The following is a 14,906-nucleotide window of genomic DNA, read 5'->3' on the forward strand; positions in this document are numbered from 1 at the left end:
ATGTGTGTGTGTGTATATATATATATGTATATGTATATATATATATATATACACATATATATATACACACATATATGGATACACACACATATGCACGCGTATGTGTGTACATATGTATGTGTGCATATGTGTACATATGTATGTATATGTATATATGTATATACATATATAAATGTGTACATGTACATATATGTATATTTGTAAATGTACATATATATTTTTTTACTTTGTTAGAAGCAATGTGTTCGATTTTTATGTGGAGGAGGTACAAGTGTTTTGTTCCCTCGTGACCTGGCATCTTGAGTCGCACTGCGCTAGTGCATCTGAGGACACCCAAATTAGGCAAAAGCTGTGAAAGAATAATTTTAAAATGGTTTTAAATAGATAATTTGAACATTTTATTCCTATTATTTAATGGAATAAGGAAGAAGCTTCTAAATTATTAAAGCAAGAGTTTCTTGCTTTAATGAAGAAAACTCTATATCTGTAGTCAAATAAATAGGTAAACCATAATGGCAGCTAATCCTGTTCCTGGATTTCCCGCTATGGTACCTAATTTGTCCTGCAGGGAATGTGAGGACACAGTCCCGAGAGAATCCCCCGGCTCAAATCAGCCCAGCCCATTTTTAGCACTGTGAGAATAATGCAAAACAAATGGTTTTAATTAACCTAAGTAGTTCATGTTCATAGGCTCTTTCTTTTGGTTTCTTTTAATTTACTTGATTGCATACATTCAGAAAAAGCCAATTTTTATATCTGTTAATCCCTTCTTTTCATCAGTATATTTCCTTCTTCATTCACTTCAATCTTGTTCAGTATATTTCCTTCTTCATTCACTTCAATCTTGTATTTTCACATTCTGTCTCCTTTTCTAATCTTTTCTCCTGTATAGTGGACTCCTTTTTTGCTACCAGTGATCTCTCCTCCTGCTTGTCTTTAATTGCTTTTCCTGTTCCCTCCATTTTCTTTTTTTGTTTTTGAGACAGAGTCTCACTCTGTTGCCCAGGCTGGAGTGCAATGGCATGATTTCAGCTCACTGCAATCTCCACCTCCTGGGTTCAAGTGATTCTCCTACCTCAGTCTCCCAAGTAGCTGGGATTACAGGTGTCTACCACCATGCCTGGCTAATTTTTGTATATTTAGTAAAGACAAGGTCTCACCATGTTGGCCAAGCTGTCTCGAACTCCTGACCTCAAATGATCCACCCACCTCGGCCTCCCAAAGTGCTGGGATTACAGGAGTGAGCCACCACTCCTGGCCTCCATTTTCATTACTGTGTAAGACTCACTCAGGAGGTATATGAACCAGAGGCCAAGAAGAGCTGTATCCCAGAGTTGGACATAACTGAGCTCACAGGGGAGCTGTGAGCACATCCAAGCCCTGCTCTAAAAACATGACAAATGGGCAAAGCCAGGCAGATGGGACAGAAGAGAAATAAGCAAGGAAGCTGAAGGGGATTGTTAAGAATTATTCTAATGATTGATAGACATGGAATCTATACTAGATGCTAATTAAAATGAGGATGGTGACAAGGTTGCAGGTCCTGGTGTTTTACTGAAGAATTGCTGGGGTCAGGATACTCAGGGGAGTGGGTTAGAAAGATGGGCATTGTGGCCAGAGAGTTGAAGGGTTGAAATTGAGACCATGGAAGGATGCCACCCCTGTGATGTGCCCCCTATTGGCATGCAGAGGTCTATGCAGAAGATCATTGGCTGGGGAGTCAGGCATGGCCTGGTTGCTTCCTGGACCCATCTCTTGCTGAGTTTAGCAAACTTAGGCACATTACATGAAGTTTTCTAAGGTACAGTTTCTTTATCTGCAGAATATCAATAACGTGAAACCTACATATTGTGACAGTCACATGGAATGAAGCATAATTTCTGGCACAAAGTATTAATTTAGTAAAGGTCGTTCTCATTCCATTTCCCTCCATTTCTTATGCTTTTATTTCAGCTCATCATCTTCTTTGGTATGACTCCCTCTCTTGAATGAGAGAGAAATCTTGTTCCTCAGATAGGTATTATGTAAGATGCTGTGAATTTGTTTAGACCTTAAGCAGTGTGATCACAGAAGGTGAGCCACACACTAGATTTTAAGTGATTGTTAGGGCAAATATACAGTAAGTATAAAAATAATTAGATGTTTTATACACACATATAGATGATGTTACTTAATGGTTGAAGCCAACAAAATGCTTTTTCTCATACCCCAAGGTTATGGATAAATATGGAGAGTTCTACGGCCGAGACAGAATCAGTGAATTACTTGGCATGGACAAGGCAGCTCTGGACTTCAGTGATGCCAGAGAAAAGAAGAAGCCAAAGAAAGACAGCTCCTTATCAGCTGTGTAAGTGTTACTTCGGCTCTATCCTACAGACTTAGATTGAAAGGGGAAAACATTAATACATTTTTAAACTTGTGCATTGATTTCCTTTCCTTCAATGTCAGAAGAATAGATAGATGAGGAAAACAGAAAGTATATAAAGTCTACTTTTACACTTCTTGGTATTTGGAACTCTGGAATTATTGGATTTTTTTTCTATTAATTTTTGGAGGTACCTTTTAATATTTATAAGAGAACAGAAAGACTATGTTTTTTACTTAATTTGCCTTTTCTGTCTTTAAATGATCCTTAAATCTAAGTAAAACACATGCAAAAACTCAATATATGGCTGTTTTCTGGTAATTCCTGTTTGAAAAAACGTTAATTTTCTTATGTTTTGGAAAAGGGAACTATGTAGCCCTTGTATTTAAAATGTTCAGAGGAACTCATATTACTTTACTATAAGTATTGTATTGTTTTGAACAGCAAAGGCTTAGTGCGTCAGAAATAATATACCATCATACCATTACTTGTAAAGTTTACTTCAAAATGAAACACTCTTTATATACTGCTTTCATGGAATAATATGTTTCTAAACCAGTTGAGTTGAATGCACCTGAATTTAAATGTCACACACACACACACACACACACACATATAGTGTGAGTGTACAGATATATACATACATCCATTTAGCAAATTTGATCAACTGAATCTCTGGAATAAAAGTAAAACATGCTTTTAAAAACGTAATTGCTTATTGTAGTCACTTAATGATTTTGGAAGAAACATAATACTTTCTCTTAACATGAGTAGGGATGTGATGGTTACTTTGAAAACATATTTCTGGTTCTGTGAAGCAGTATTATTTTCTTAATCTGTTAGCTAGCATTAAAAAGATAGTTTAGCTGGCCTATCTCATTGGTCATATTGTTTTTATCTATCTGAAAACTTATTAAGGTGAACTTGTTTTTGAACTTACTGAAAACAACTTGGATCAGCAAATATGAATTAAGTTCCAAAATATTACTTGAGTACTCTAGGAAAACAAATGTATATTTAAACGTTGTGCCGCTGCCTGTAAAATGAAACACCGATGGGCAATCCTTAGGATCTGTGTTCCTTATGTTAGAATATCATGAAACAAGAACTAGGGTGTGAGGCTGAGCATCCCACAAACATTTTCAGATCCTTAACAAGCAATATAGAATTAAATAGTTTTACTGAGTTATGCATTTTCTGTGGTCATATTTGTGACTCTAAAAAAAAGTCTGAAAAAATAGAAGGGAAGTTTAGACTGTTTTTCTACTATGAAGAAATAGTTTTAAATTGGCATAGTTTTCTACCATTATACATAGTAACTGTTTGTAAGTAAGTTTGACCCCTAGCAAAGTACCAAGAAGTTCATATGGCATTTAACACCTTGACATATGGAGAATAAAATTAGAAGAATAAAGTTCTGGTAAATAATGTACAACTAGGAAAAAGATTTACATATAATGTCTCTTTACTAAAGCATTTAGGAAGGTCAGGTTTTAAAAGATTATCCGATTTCTATATGAACGCTATCTTAATGGGAACATTCAAATACAAAATGATTTATATATTTATTTATCAAACACATAAGGCTTGGTATGTGCACCTTTAAATAAGTGGCCAGCTCCATTCCTGGGGGTGGAATAGCTGCAAGCAGTCTGGAAGGCTGCAGGTGTCTTCATTTGCGTCCTCACTGGGGAGGAAAGGAGCTCATGTCTCAAAACATCTCCAAAACTCACCTTCCTGGTTATAGTTTACCCTTGACTGGAGCTTTGGAGTCCCCCCGCCCCCCAACCAGGAAGGCCGTGTTCTGATTGGCTTAGCTCAGCCATGGCCCTCCCCCAGAGGTGGGGTCAGCCTCACCGAAACAAACAGCATGGCTGCCACCTACGGGTGAGAAATGAGTGCTGTGTGATACTGATGGTATATTGTCACACTAATGTATGCTAGAGATGGAAAATAACTCATAAGAATAACTTTTAAAATAAAATAAATAAGAAACCACCATAGGAAATTCATACATCCTGATATAAACCATTATTCTGTTTTAGATTGCTTTAATGTAAAATAATTATGCTCCCATGCAAACTACTACATTTTTTCCCCCAACTCTTCCTTTTTTCATTTAAGAAAAAAAATTCTTATATTGAAACCTGTTGTAAATATTTGTGGCACTTTTTTTAAAGGCTCCTGTGATAATAAAATTAATTATAGTTCAAAGATAACTTTATTTAAGGAAAAAAAAATTGTTTTTAATCCTGGAGTAAGTTAAATGAGCCTTAACCCTTAGTGAAAAAAATCTCCTAAAAAGTCACCTTCGATTTGCAACTACTTAGCATTTATAATTTAAGAAAGATTCGCTTAATTAAAAGAAATGATTAAAGAAGTCAATAAAGACTAAAACATTAAATCTAGAGAAACCCTTTAGAAAATAATATTGCCATTATGTTATATTGCATTATTTCATATCAATTACTTAGAGCTGGAATATTGGAAAGGCTGGGAAAGTTACAATTTCTAGCCTATAAATCAGTGGCAAGTTCTGAAAAAATGAAAATTAACACATATATTTTAATATACGTGTTTGTAATCTGCAAAGATCACAAATATTTACTTTAGTATTTATCCATTCAACATATATGTATTTAGACATTCAGTGTGTGAGCTGGGGAGTTCACAGACAAGTGAGAGAGGCATATAACCACCTACATGCATATACCAGCACCCACAACTGTAAGACAATGTGGAAAATAATAATAAAAGGAATTGTCTACAAAATGCTATGAGAACTGAGGGGAAGGGCTAAATTCCTGCCTGGATGTAAAAGGAAACAGAGAAGGTGAATTTTCTGGAAATGAAGTAAAAACAAAACAATTTAAAAGCTCTTTCATTTATAAAATAAGGTAGTTGTAAAATAAATGTGTATATTTATGCTAGCTTTTATTATTTGAATCAAAAGTTATTCTGTTGGAATGCAATTGCAAGTGCATATGAAAGTGAGGAAATGTTTGATGTGTACATATGTTGGCCAATTTAGTACAGTTTCAAGGAATAAATGTTATATGTAGCTGGGCACAATGGTGCATGCATGTAATCCCAGCACTTCGGGAGGCCAAAGCGGACAGATCCCCTGAGATCAGGAGTTCAAGACCAGCCTGGCCAACATGATGAAACCCCATCTCTACAAAAAAAAAAAAAAAAAAAAAAAAATTCGCTGGGAGCGGTAGCACATGCCTGTAATCCCAGCTACTCGGGAGGCTGAGGCACGAGAATCGCTTGAACCGGGGAGGCAGAGATTGCAGTGAGCCAAGATTGCACCATTGCATTCTAGTCTGGGTGAATGAGTGCAACTCTGTCTCAAAAAAAAAAAAAAAATGTTAATACTGAATGTAGGAAAGGGAAAGGTGAAAAAGAAAGGACTATTTTTAAATAACATAAGACGAAGGTGATGATGTTTTGTTTTCCAAGATCCTCTAAGAACACATCATGAAACTCTAGGATACAGTGTCAGAGTTGGCTCTCAGCTCCTCCCTTGGCATCTGGGATAGAACTCGTTTCCCAAGAAGGTGTCCAAGTCTTGTCCCATTGAATGTGAAGGCCGTCAGGCTCTCGCAAGCCTATGAGTCTTTGGTTAATGTGCATAACTACGCATTTTTTTTTTTTGTCATTGCAGACTGAACTCCATTGATGTGAAGTATCAGATGTGGAAACTAGGAGTCGTTTTCACTGACAACGTAAGCCTACTTCATTATCACAAAAGAAAATGCACTCTGATTAGATAAGACTGTGGGAGTTCTGCAGATGGAAGGCTGGTTATTTAGAAAATGTTTCGAATACCAATTCATTTCATACAGACCAGATCTGGAGAGAGACCCACAGAATGATATGATTAATGAGCCCATCTCTCATTCCATTTCTTTCAATAGCTGAAATAGTAAAATGAAAATATATGAAAAACTGAGATGCAGATTTGTGAGTACGTTCATTAAGGTTTTAATTGGACAATGGCATACTTCAGTTTTATAGATGTTAAAAAGAAACTCCTAAATAATTTTAAAAGAACATTAATTGTGCTAAATTTAGGTTTTCCCCAAATTAAGTACATTAACTTATGGAGTTTTATTTTATTTTTTTTATTCTCCTTTTACCAAAGAGCCTTTGGAGACTAAATATAGGGCCGTAATATATATCCAAATAGAAAAAAATTACCTATTACTAAAAACCGCCAGGTGTCTCAAGATTTCACTCTTTAATTTTAGCACTGACTTTTATAGTTCACGTTAGTTCCATTCTCCTATTTAGAAGCATTTGATAGCCCCCAAATTCTCCTGCCTCTATCCTTATCCCTTCCCTCATCCAGCCATGGGCCCAGAACTCTGGGTGTCTTAGGAGCATTCTCTAAGAGTTCAAAATCAGGTCTTCCAAGTATCTTTCAGAACCATAAACTATTAATACACTATCTTACAACTAATTTCTCATCCAAATGGGAGCAACTCCCCTGAATAACAAGAGGGCAACCTCAGCTTTGGCTCTAGTTGGCATTTTCCACTGAAGTGGCCAGTCCATCTTAAGTTCTGCCTGCTAAGCTCAATCTTCCATGCCACAGTATTTGCATAGCCCACTTTTGCCCAGATGCAGCTTCTGCCCAGATGCAGCTTATCCATAATATTCATCTTGCTTTGTAGTTTTTTTGTCCTCTTGATAACTTGGGCATGGATAGATCCAGGATGGAGTCTTTCCTTAGACAGCGTTCTGCTATTTTAGTAGGCTTTTATCCACCTGCAGTTTCATGGCTTCTGTTTGGCCAATCACCTCTCAACATGCATTCATTCTTCACTATTACTGTGTCTCTCTGAAACATAGCCATGGTTACCAGACGAAATTCAGAATTCCTAGTTAAATGTAAATTTTAGATAAGCAGAAAATAATATTTAGCATAAGTATGTCCCAAATTACTTCATGGGATATACCTAAACTAAAAATCATTTATTCTTTCTCTCTCATTCAAATTTTACTGTGCAGCAAGCACATGTGTAGACCACACATGCACCTTTGGCCCAGCTTGTCACTTAGGTCGTTACTCATCTTATGCCCATAAATTTTCCTTTTCCTCAGTCTTTGCATTTTTCTTTTTTTTTTGAGACAGAGTCTTGCACTGTCACCCAGGCTGGAGTGCAGTGGCACACTCTCCGCTCACTGCAAGCTCCGCCTCCTGGGTTCACACCATTCTGCCTCAGCCTCCTGAGTAGCTGGGACTACAGGCGCCCGCCACCACGCCCGGCTAATTTTTTGTACTTTTAGTAGAGACGGGGTTTCACCATGTTAGCCAGGATGGTCTCGATCTCCTGACCTCGTGAACCGACCGCCTTGGCCTCCCAAAGTACTGGGATTACAAGCGTGAGCCACCACGCCCAGTCTTGCATTTCTTAATGCCTCCTTAGATTAGCTCCATCTGAATGTCCCATGGCAAATTTTCATCTTCCTTCTCCTCTGCTCCTCCCCACCAAATCCAGTCTTCGGTCTACAATTTTCTCTTTTAGTATTTTTGTTCTTCTTACTACCTAAGCTTAAATTATTCATATGGACTCCTCCTCTTCTTTCTCCCTCCAATGCATGTATTTGATTATTTGCTGAATCTTGGTCCTGTTTGTGTCCTCTGTAATTCTCCCTTCTATCTTTACCACTTTTGCTGCTTTTTTTGGCTCTGGTAACCTCACCCTGGGGTTTGTCCAGTAGTCTTCTAATTTAATGGCTTTGCCACTTACAATGATTTTAGACAATAGCTTAACTAGAGCAAGCTCACTTCCTCATATATAAATTGGGGCTAAACGTGCCTATTCATCAGAGATCTTGCTAAAATAAAAAAGAGACCATGTGTGCAAATATATTGAACGTTGACCAGCACTTAGTAGGTGCTAAAGAAATTTTCCTAAAATGCCATTTTTCACAAACCGTTATCCTTCTCATGGTACTGCAGTGGCACTCAAGTTCCTGTGGGGTACACAAATGTCCTTGAACTTGCCCTCAAGCCTCTCCAACACTGCCACACTTTTCCAACTTGGTCTTGCAAAACAGGAACCCACCACTCAAACCAAATTTTCCTTCCCAAGCAAACTCTGTTTAGTCTTACCTCAGTGTGCTTTTTAAAAATGCTGTTTTCTTTTCTGCCACTTGACCTCTAGCTTCAGTTCCACATGGTCCTTGAAATCCCTTTACTAGCTCAGCCCCCTCTTTTTATTCTCTGTGAAAGATTAAGATATCTTACAGTCAAAATGAAGGTGTCCGCCGCTTCCCCAAATGGGTGGTTTCTGACTCCACTAGCAAAACATTCCTTATGGAGCAGAGACTGTAGTCCCATAAGTAAGAGCAGCCACCATATTTTTATTCTGCATTAGTCCTGGCCCTCCCCCAAAAGTGTATTCATTTTCCAGCCTATGTGAATAATCAACATTAATTATAACCCAGGAGACTTCTACAACAGTACCAATAGTATTATTAGGTGTATTATAGCTTTCAGTGACGTCACATGGTATTTGGGTTTCTCCTAGACTTACTGTGGCTCACGTAAAGTGAGATGCTTGGTTAATAAAACACTTCATATAATTTCATAACTAGTAGGTCTCAGCAAACACTGATTTAGTCAGTGAATAAATGAAAAGCAAAGAAGGGAAGAAAAGGAGGGAGAGAAAGCGACTGGTTCTTTTGTTGGCTGTAGAGCAAGGGTTCTTCTCTACTGGGGAACAGTTTTGTCTGCTAATGATGTTTGGCAATGTCTGGAGACATTTTTGGTTGTCATGACTCAGGGGAGAGGTGGGGTCGGTGCTATTGGCATCTAGTTGATGCTGCTTGCCATCCCACCATGCACAGAACAGCACCCATAATAAAGGATTATCTGAACCAAAATATGAATAGCGCTGGGTTGAGAAAGCCTGCTGCGGAGTAGGAAGTCAATAAATGTTTCTCTGTCGGAGGATAAATAACAACGACAATTCCTGAAACACTTTAAAACTGTTTTAAAGGAGGATGACACTGACCTTTTCAGAACAAATTAAGTAAAAATAAAATTCACAAAGAACAAACTGATACAGCTAACTAGAATTGTAAAAATGTATAGTGAGCCAGGCGCAGTGGCTCACGCCTGTAATCCCAGCACTTTGGGAGGCCGAGGCGGGTGGATCACGAGGTTAGGAGATCAAGACCATCCTGGTTAACACAGTGAAACCCCGTCTCTACTAAAAATACAAAATAATTAGCCGGGCGTGGTGGCGGACGCTTGTAGTCCCAGCTACTCGGGAGGCTGAGGCAGGAGAATGGCATGAACCTGGGAGGCAGAGCTTGCAGTGAGCTGAGATTGTGCCACTGCACTCCAGCCTGGGCGACAGAGCTAGACTCTGTCTCAAAAAAAAAAAAAAAAAAAAAAAAAGTATAGTGTACGAAGATGAAGTAAATGGAGTAATTATAACAGAGTGAAATCAGAGTTACTTTTTAATTGTATTTTTTTAATTGACATATTCATGGGGTACCTAGTGATATTTTGATAAATATAATGTAATCAGATCAGGGTAATTAGTATATGCATTATCTTTAACATTTATCACTTCTTTGTGTTGGGAACATTTAATATCCCCCTTCTAGCTATTTGAAACTATATATTATTGTGACCTGCCGTCATCCTACAGCGGTATAGAACCCCAGAACTTATTTTTTCTATCTAGCTATAACTTTGTATCTTTTAACAAATCTCTCCCTATTCCTACCTCTCCTTTTTCTCCCCAATCTCTAGTGTCCTCTCTCCTACTTTTTACTTCCATGAGATTAACTTTTTAAGATTCCACATGTGAGTGAGAACATGTAGAGTTTAACTTTCTGTTCCTGGCTTATTTTGCTTAACCCATAACAATAGTCATGCGTTCTGTTTTCTGACATGTTCTTTCCCCCCGTTTTGTCTTAATAGTCCTTCCTCTACCTAGCCTGGTATATGACTATGTCTGTTCTTGGACACTATAACAACTTTTTTTTTGCCGCTCACCTTCTCGACATTGCTATGGGATTCAAGACATTAAGAACCATCTTGTCCTCAGTAACTCACAATGGCAAACAGGTAAACAGTTTATCTTTTTCCTCCCTTGCAGAAAATAAAAAAGCAACAAATAAAACAAAGAAAAATAAAACTACCCCTCAAATGACAATGTACAGTTTTAAAGATTTTTTTGAAGGGAGGGTCTGCACCTGTTCTAAACTGCAGGGATTAGTAGTTTGAGGGTCTCCTAGGCCTATACTCAAGCCTTGGCTTGACTTTGGATAAATTAACTGAAAATAATAAAAGTACATACCTTACCAGATTTTTGCGAAAATGAAATAAAAACAAATGTGTATGCCTTAACACAGCCCCTGGCCCATATCAAGCACTCAGGAACTTAGTTATTATTTTGTTCCTAGTATAGTATTTGCTCCACTTGCTATTATGGAGAACCAAAATAGGTTACAGAATCCTGACCCACTCATTGTATTCGTTGTAAAATATGAGATGCTGCATTTTAATGTAGTATTTTTAAGCTGGATATTCATGTACTCTTTACTTTTAAATTGAGCAAAAAGGATAACGTTTCATATTTGACAAGGTCATGCTGACTCGGAAGAAAACTGGTCTAGGTCCAGAAAATGCACTTACGTTCCAATGGAACCTGTTCTTAATGTTAAGACTTCCCATTATCCTGAAGCATATTGCAGAAGTGTGCACTGATCCGTTCACTTGCTATTTTTCAAGTGTCCACTGGGTGGCGACATATTCTGTGTTAGTTATTTGGCTTAACAGACTCCTTCATTTCCAGAGTCTTGTAGCCCAGCACATTTTAAAATAATTGCCTCTCTAAAAGCTTTGAACTGGGTCCACAGTTAAGTCCACATTATCATCAGTTTTCTAAATTTCAGCATGATTCTTACATATGTCACTTTAGGTTCTGAGTATGACTGTGACGTGCACGGCAAGTCATGGGTCTAGCGACAAAAAAGTCTATTTATCTGTCAGTTAATAAGATGTGTTTGAGCTCCCAGGATATGCAGTAAAGAACTGGAGATGCCAAATGTATGTGTGTTTCTACATAAAAGGTCCGGCACTACTTTCCATTTCTGAGCTTTGTGGGGTTTCTTTTTGAGGGATCAAATTTTCTTTGTTTGTTTGTTTTTAAGACAGAGTCTTGCTCTGTCACCCAGGCTGGAATGCGGCGGCGCGATCTCGGCTCACTGCAACCTCCGCCTCCCTAGGTTCAAGTGATTCTCCTGCCTCAGCCTCCCGCATAGCTGGGATTATAGGCGCGTGCCACCATGCCCGGCTAATTTTTGTATTTTTAGTAGAGATGGGGTTTCACCATGTTGGCCAGGCTGGTCTCGAACTTCTGACCTCAGGTGATCTGCCTGCCTCGGCCTCCCAAAGTGCTAGGATTACAGGCATGAGCCACCCCACCTGGCCTCAAATTTTCATTTGCAGAAATATGTAGAGCTTTATAGTCCTAACAGGTGAAACATGCAGAAATTCACAGTAACCTTGCACTTCATTTATAGAAATGAATGAAACCCTCTGTTAAGGTAACATGTTTTCTCCAGATAATTATAAAGTGATTTTGTAAAGACTTAATCAGCATAAGCAGTTGCAGTCAAGACCATAAAGATGTGCTGTAATCAGAAAAAGTACACATAAAGATAAAGCACTGTTAGTATGGTCGAATTTCTGTGATGAAACCAGAAATACATTTTCACCAACTGGGTGAAAAGCCACATTTTTAGCATATACATATTCTATCAAAAATACTCTACAATTCTATCATATACTTATAGCTATCCAAAAATTAAAGTATAATTTGGAATTAAAAACAGATTACATAGAGCTGAAAGACCTTTCAAACAGAGACATTTAATTATAGATTGAGAAAAATAGCCTTCAAAACAGTGTTGGTCACTAGCTGTGGTATTTTTCACTTTGGCCATTGTTTACAAAGCAAGATTTCTCAGTTTTAAAAAATATTTATATTATACCTTATTACTAGTTGTGTGTCCCCAGATTTCAGGGGCAATACAAATTTCTATTTAGTTTAGGATATGATTGAAAATTTAAAAATAATTTACAGTCATAACAAAAACGAAATGCATTTTATTAGGAATGTAATTTATAGAAAATAGCCCTCATAAAATGAAGAAAGGGCCGGGCACGGTGGCTCACGCCTGTAATCCCAGCACTTTGAGATGCCGAGGCGGGCAGATCGCCTGAGGTCGGGAGTTCGAGACCAGCCTGACAAACATGGAGAAACCCCATCTCTACTAAAAATACAAAATTAGCTGGGTGTGGTGGCGCATGCCTATAATCCCCACTACTCGGGAGGCTGAGGCAGGAGAATCGCTTGAACCCGGGAGGCAGAGGTTGCAGTGAGCTCAGATTGTGCCACAGCACTCCAGCCTGGTGACAGAAACTCTGTCTCAAAAAAAAAAAAAACAAAATAAAATAAAATAAAATAAAATAAAGTCTGACAACTTGATAAAGAGAATATGAAAATAAATGTCTGCATGAGGGGGCTAAGAAAGGTGAGAAATAAGTTATGGATCCCATTAGCTTCTAGTAAACACGGCTGTGTTCTCACTAGAGCACTCGCCGCCCATGTAGATGTCACGTGTCAATTGTATGTCCTACATTTCTAATACCTGGTCCTTGTCACATTGTTTTCCAGCTCGTATTAACCGTTGGCTTATTAGCTGTTGTTGTATACCTATACACTGTGGTGGCATTCAATTTTTTCCGAAAATTCTACAATAAAAGTGAAGATGGTGATACACCAGATATGAAATGTGACGATATGCTAACAGTAAGTTCATAACCTTTGATCTCACATAAACAAAAATGTCTCCTGCTTCTGCAGTCTAAGTAATTGTGTATTTATTCTCTAACAGTACAAAATAGAAAATAGTCTAAACAAATAAAAAGTTGCAGGGCTGTTTAAAGATTCAGCAGTTTTCAATTTTAGCAGAACATAAAGGAGCATTTCTGTCAATTTTCCATATGTGCTGCACAGCCTAATAATTAGAATTGCTGAGTAATGTACTTAGAACTCGAAGGAGTAATGTCATCACTTAAGCCTGTTGTTCACATATCCCAGGACAACGGGTAAAACTATTTCCCAGAGAACATTTGGAAGCCTTAGTTTTTTGTTCACCTTAATGACTTTAACTGAAATTACTAAATTTCAAAAATATATCTCTTCCTAGAACTACTGGTTTTTGCTTTTATATTGAGTATCTTGGCTTAAATGTCTTTTTTGGTCTTGGTTTTCAAAAATCAACAGCTGTTAAAGCTTTCATATTGCTTTATATCGCTGTTCTACAACCTGTCTCTCTAATATTGGCAGCTGAGAGGTAATCATACATGAGATCTTAGATCAGGAAGGGGAACATGAGACAAAATATATATCACTAGCTGGAAAGAGATGTATCCTTCAGTAAGCTCCTCACGAAAATACCTACATCATTTGTGTTGGGGATGTAGGTATAGAGGCTGATATAATGATACATAAATTACTCTAGAAAAAATAGCCCAAAAGATTGATGAGAATGACCAGTATTACAAAGACTAACAATTAAGATAATTTTATACTAAAGAATGACAACTCAGTGGGACAGAGTAGTTCAGAAACAGATGCAAATACTCACGGAAATTAAAAGATGATAAAGATCTTTTGAAGTAATGAAATGAAAAATAATTTAATAAATGACATTAGTACCATGGACAAGCTATTTGGGGGGAAATGATAAAAATGGATGCCAACCTTGCTTTTTAAATAAAAATAAATTCTGAAATGAGCATATTTTAATGCAATAAGAAGGAATAATCACAAGACAGAATTTGATGCCTTAAATAATAGTAATACTCATTTTTACATGGAGAACGGTCTGAGTATGACATAAAACTCAGGATCTATGAAAGCATAAACATTATTTGAAAAAAGAGCAACTATAAATAAAGTCGTAAAGGCAAATGGTAAACTGGGAAAGATATATTTAACACCATAACAAAGGGCCATTTTCCTTAATCTACCAAGTCCTTATCACATCAATAAGAAATAAGCCAATAGAAGAACAAGTAAGTCACATGACCAGACAATTCACGGTAAAATTAATTCAGTGGGCTTGCAAATTTGAAAAGACGCTCAGCCTCTGTCAAAGTGAAAGAAATGCAAATTAAAACAATGAAAAAAACACTTTTTACCTATCAGGTTTGCAAAGTATTCACGTTTGTTAAAACCCACAGTTGGTGAATTGATGGGAAAAATCAGCATTTTCATGACTCTGGTTGGGAGGTTGAATTGACAACAATTTTAGAGAAGTTTTGTGACACCTATCAAATTTTTAAGTATATATATCCTTTGACCTATTAATTCCACTGCTAGTACTTTACCTAAAGGTTTACTCACAAACAAGCCTCTGTATGTTCAAGAACATTAGCTGCCCTCACAAGCTAGGAATAATCTAAATGATCATTAGTAGTGTCCTGATTAAGTCAGTT

At 37.4% G+C, this 14,906-nt stretch overlaps 1 protein-coding gene across 16 annotated transcripts in view; it reads left to right on the forward strand.

Moving 5' to 3' along the window:
* RYR2 (ryanodine receptor 2) overlaps nt 1–14,906 on the forward strand; it is a 791,805-nt gene that overhangs the window by 753,640 nt on the left and 23,259 nt on the right. For all 16 annotated transcript variants that reach the window (XM_006711802.4, XM_006711804.4, XM_006711806.4 and 13 more), the window contains 4 exons: nt 2,214–2,347; nt 6,033–6,093; nt 10,314–10,460; nt 13,078–13,212. In XM_006711802.4, coding sequence (XP_006711865.1) covers nt 2,214–2,347; nt 6,033–6,093; nt 10,314–10,460; nt 13,078–13,212 — 477 coding nt within the window. The remainder of the gene's footprint in view (nt 1–2,213; nt 2,348–6,032; nt 6,094–10,313; nt 10,461–13,077; nt 13,213–14,906) is intronic.

This window comes from Homo sapiens, chromosome 1 (genome assembly GCF_000001405.40).
Source record: "Homo sapiens chromosome 1, GRCh38.p14 Primary Assembly".
Taxonomy (NCBI): Eukaryota; Metazoa; Chordata; class Mammalia; order Primates; family Hominidae; genus Homo; species Homo sapiens.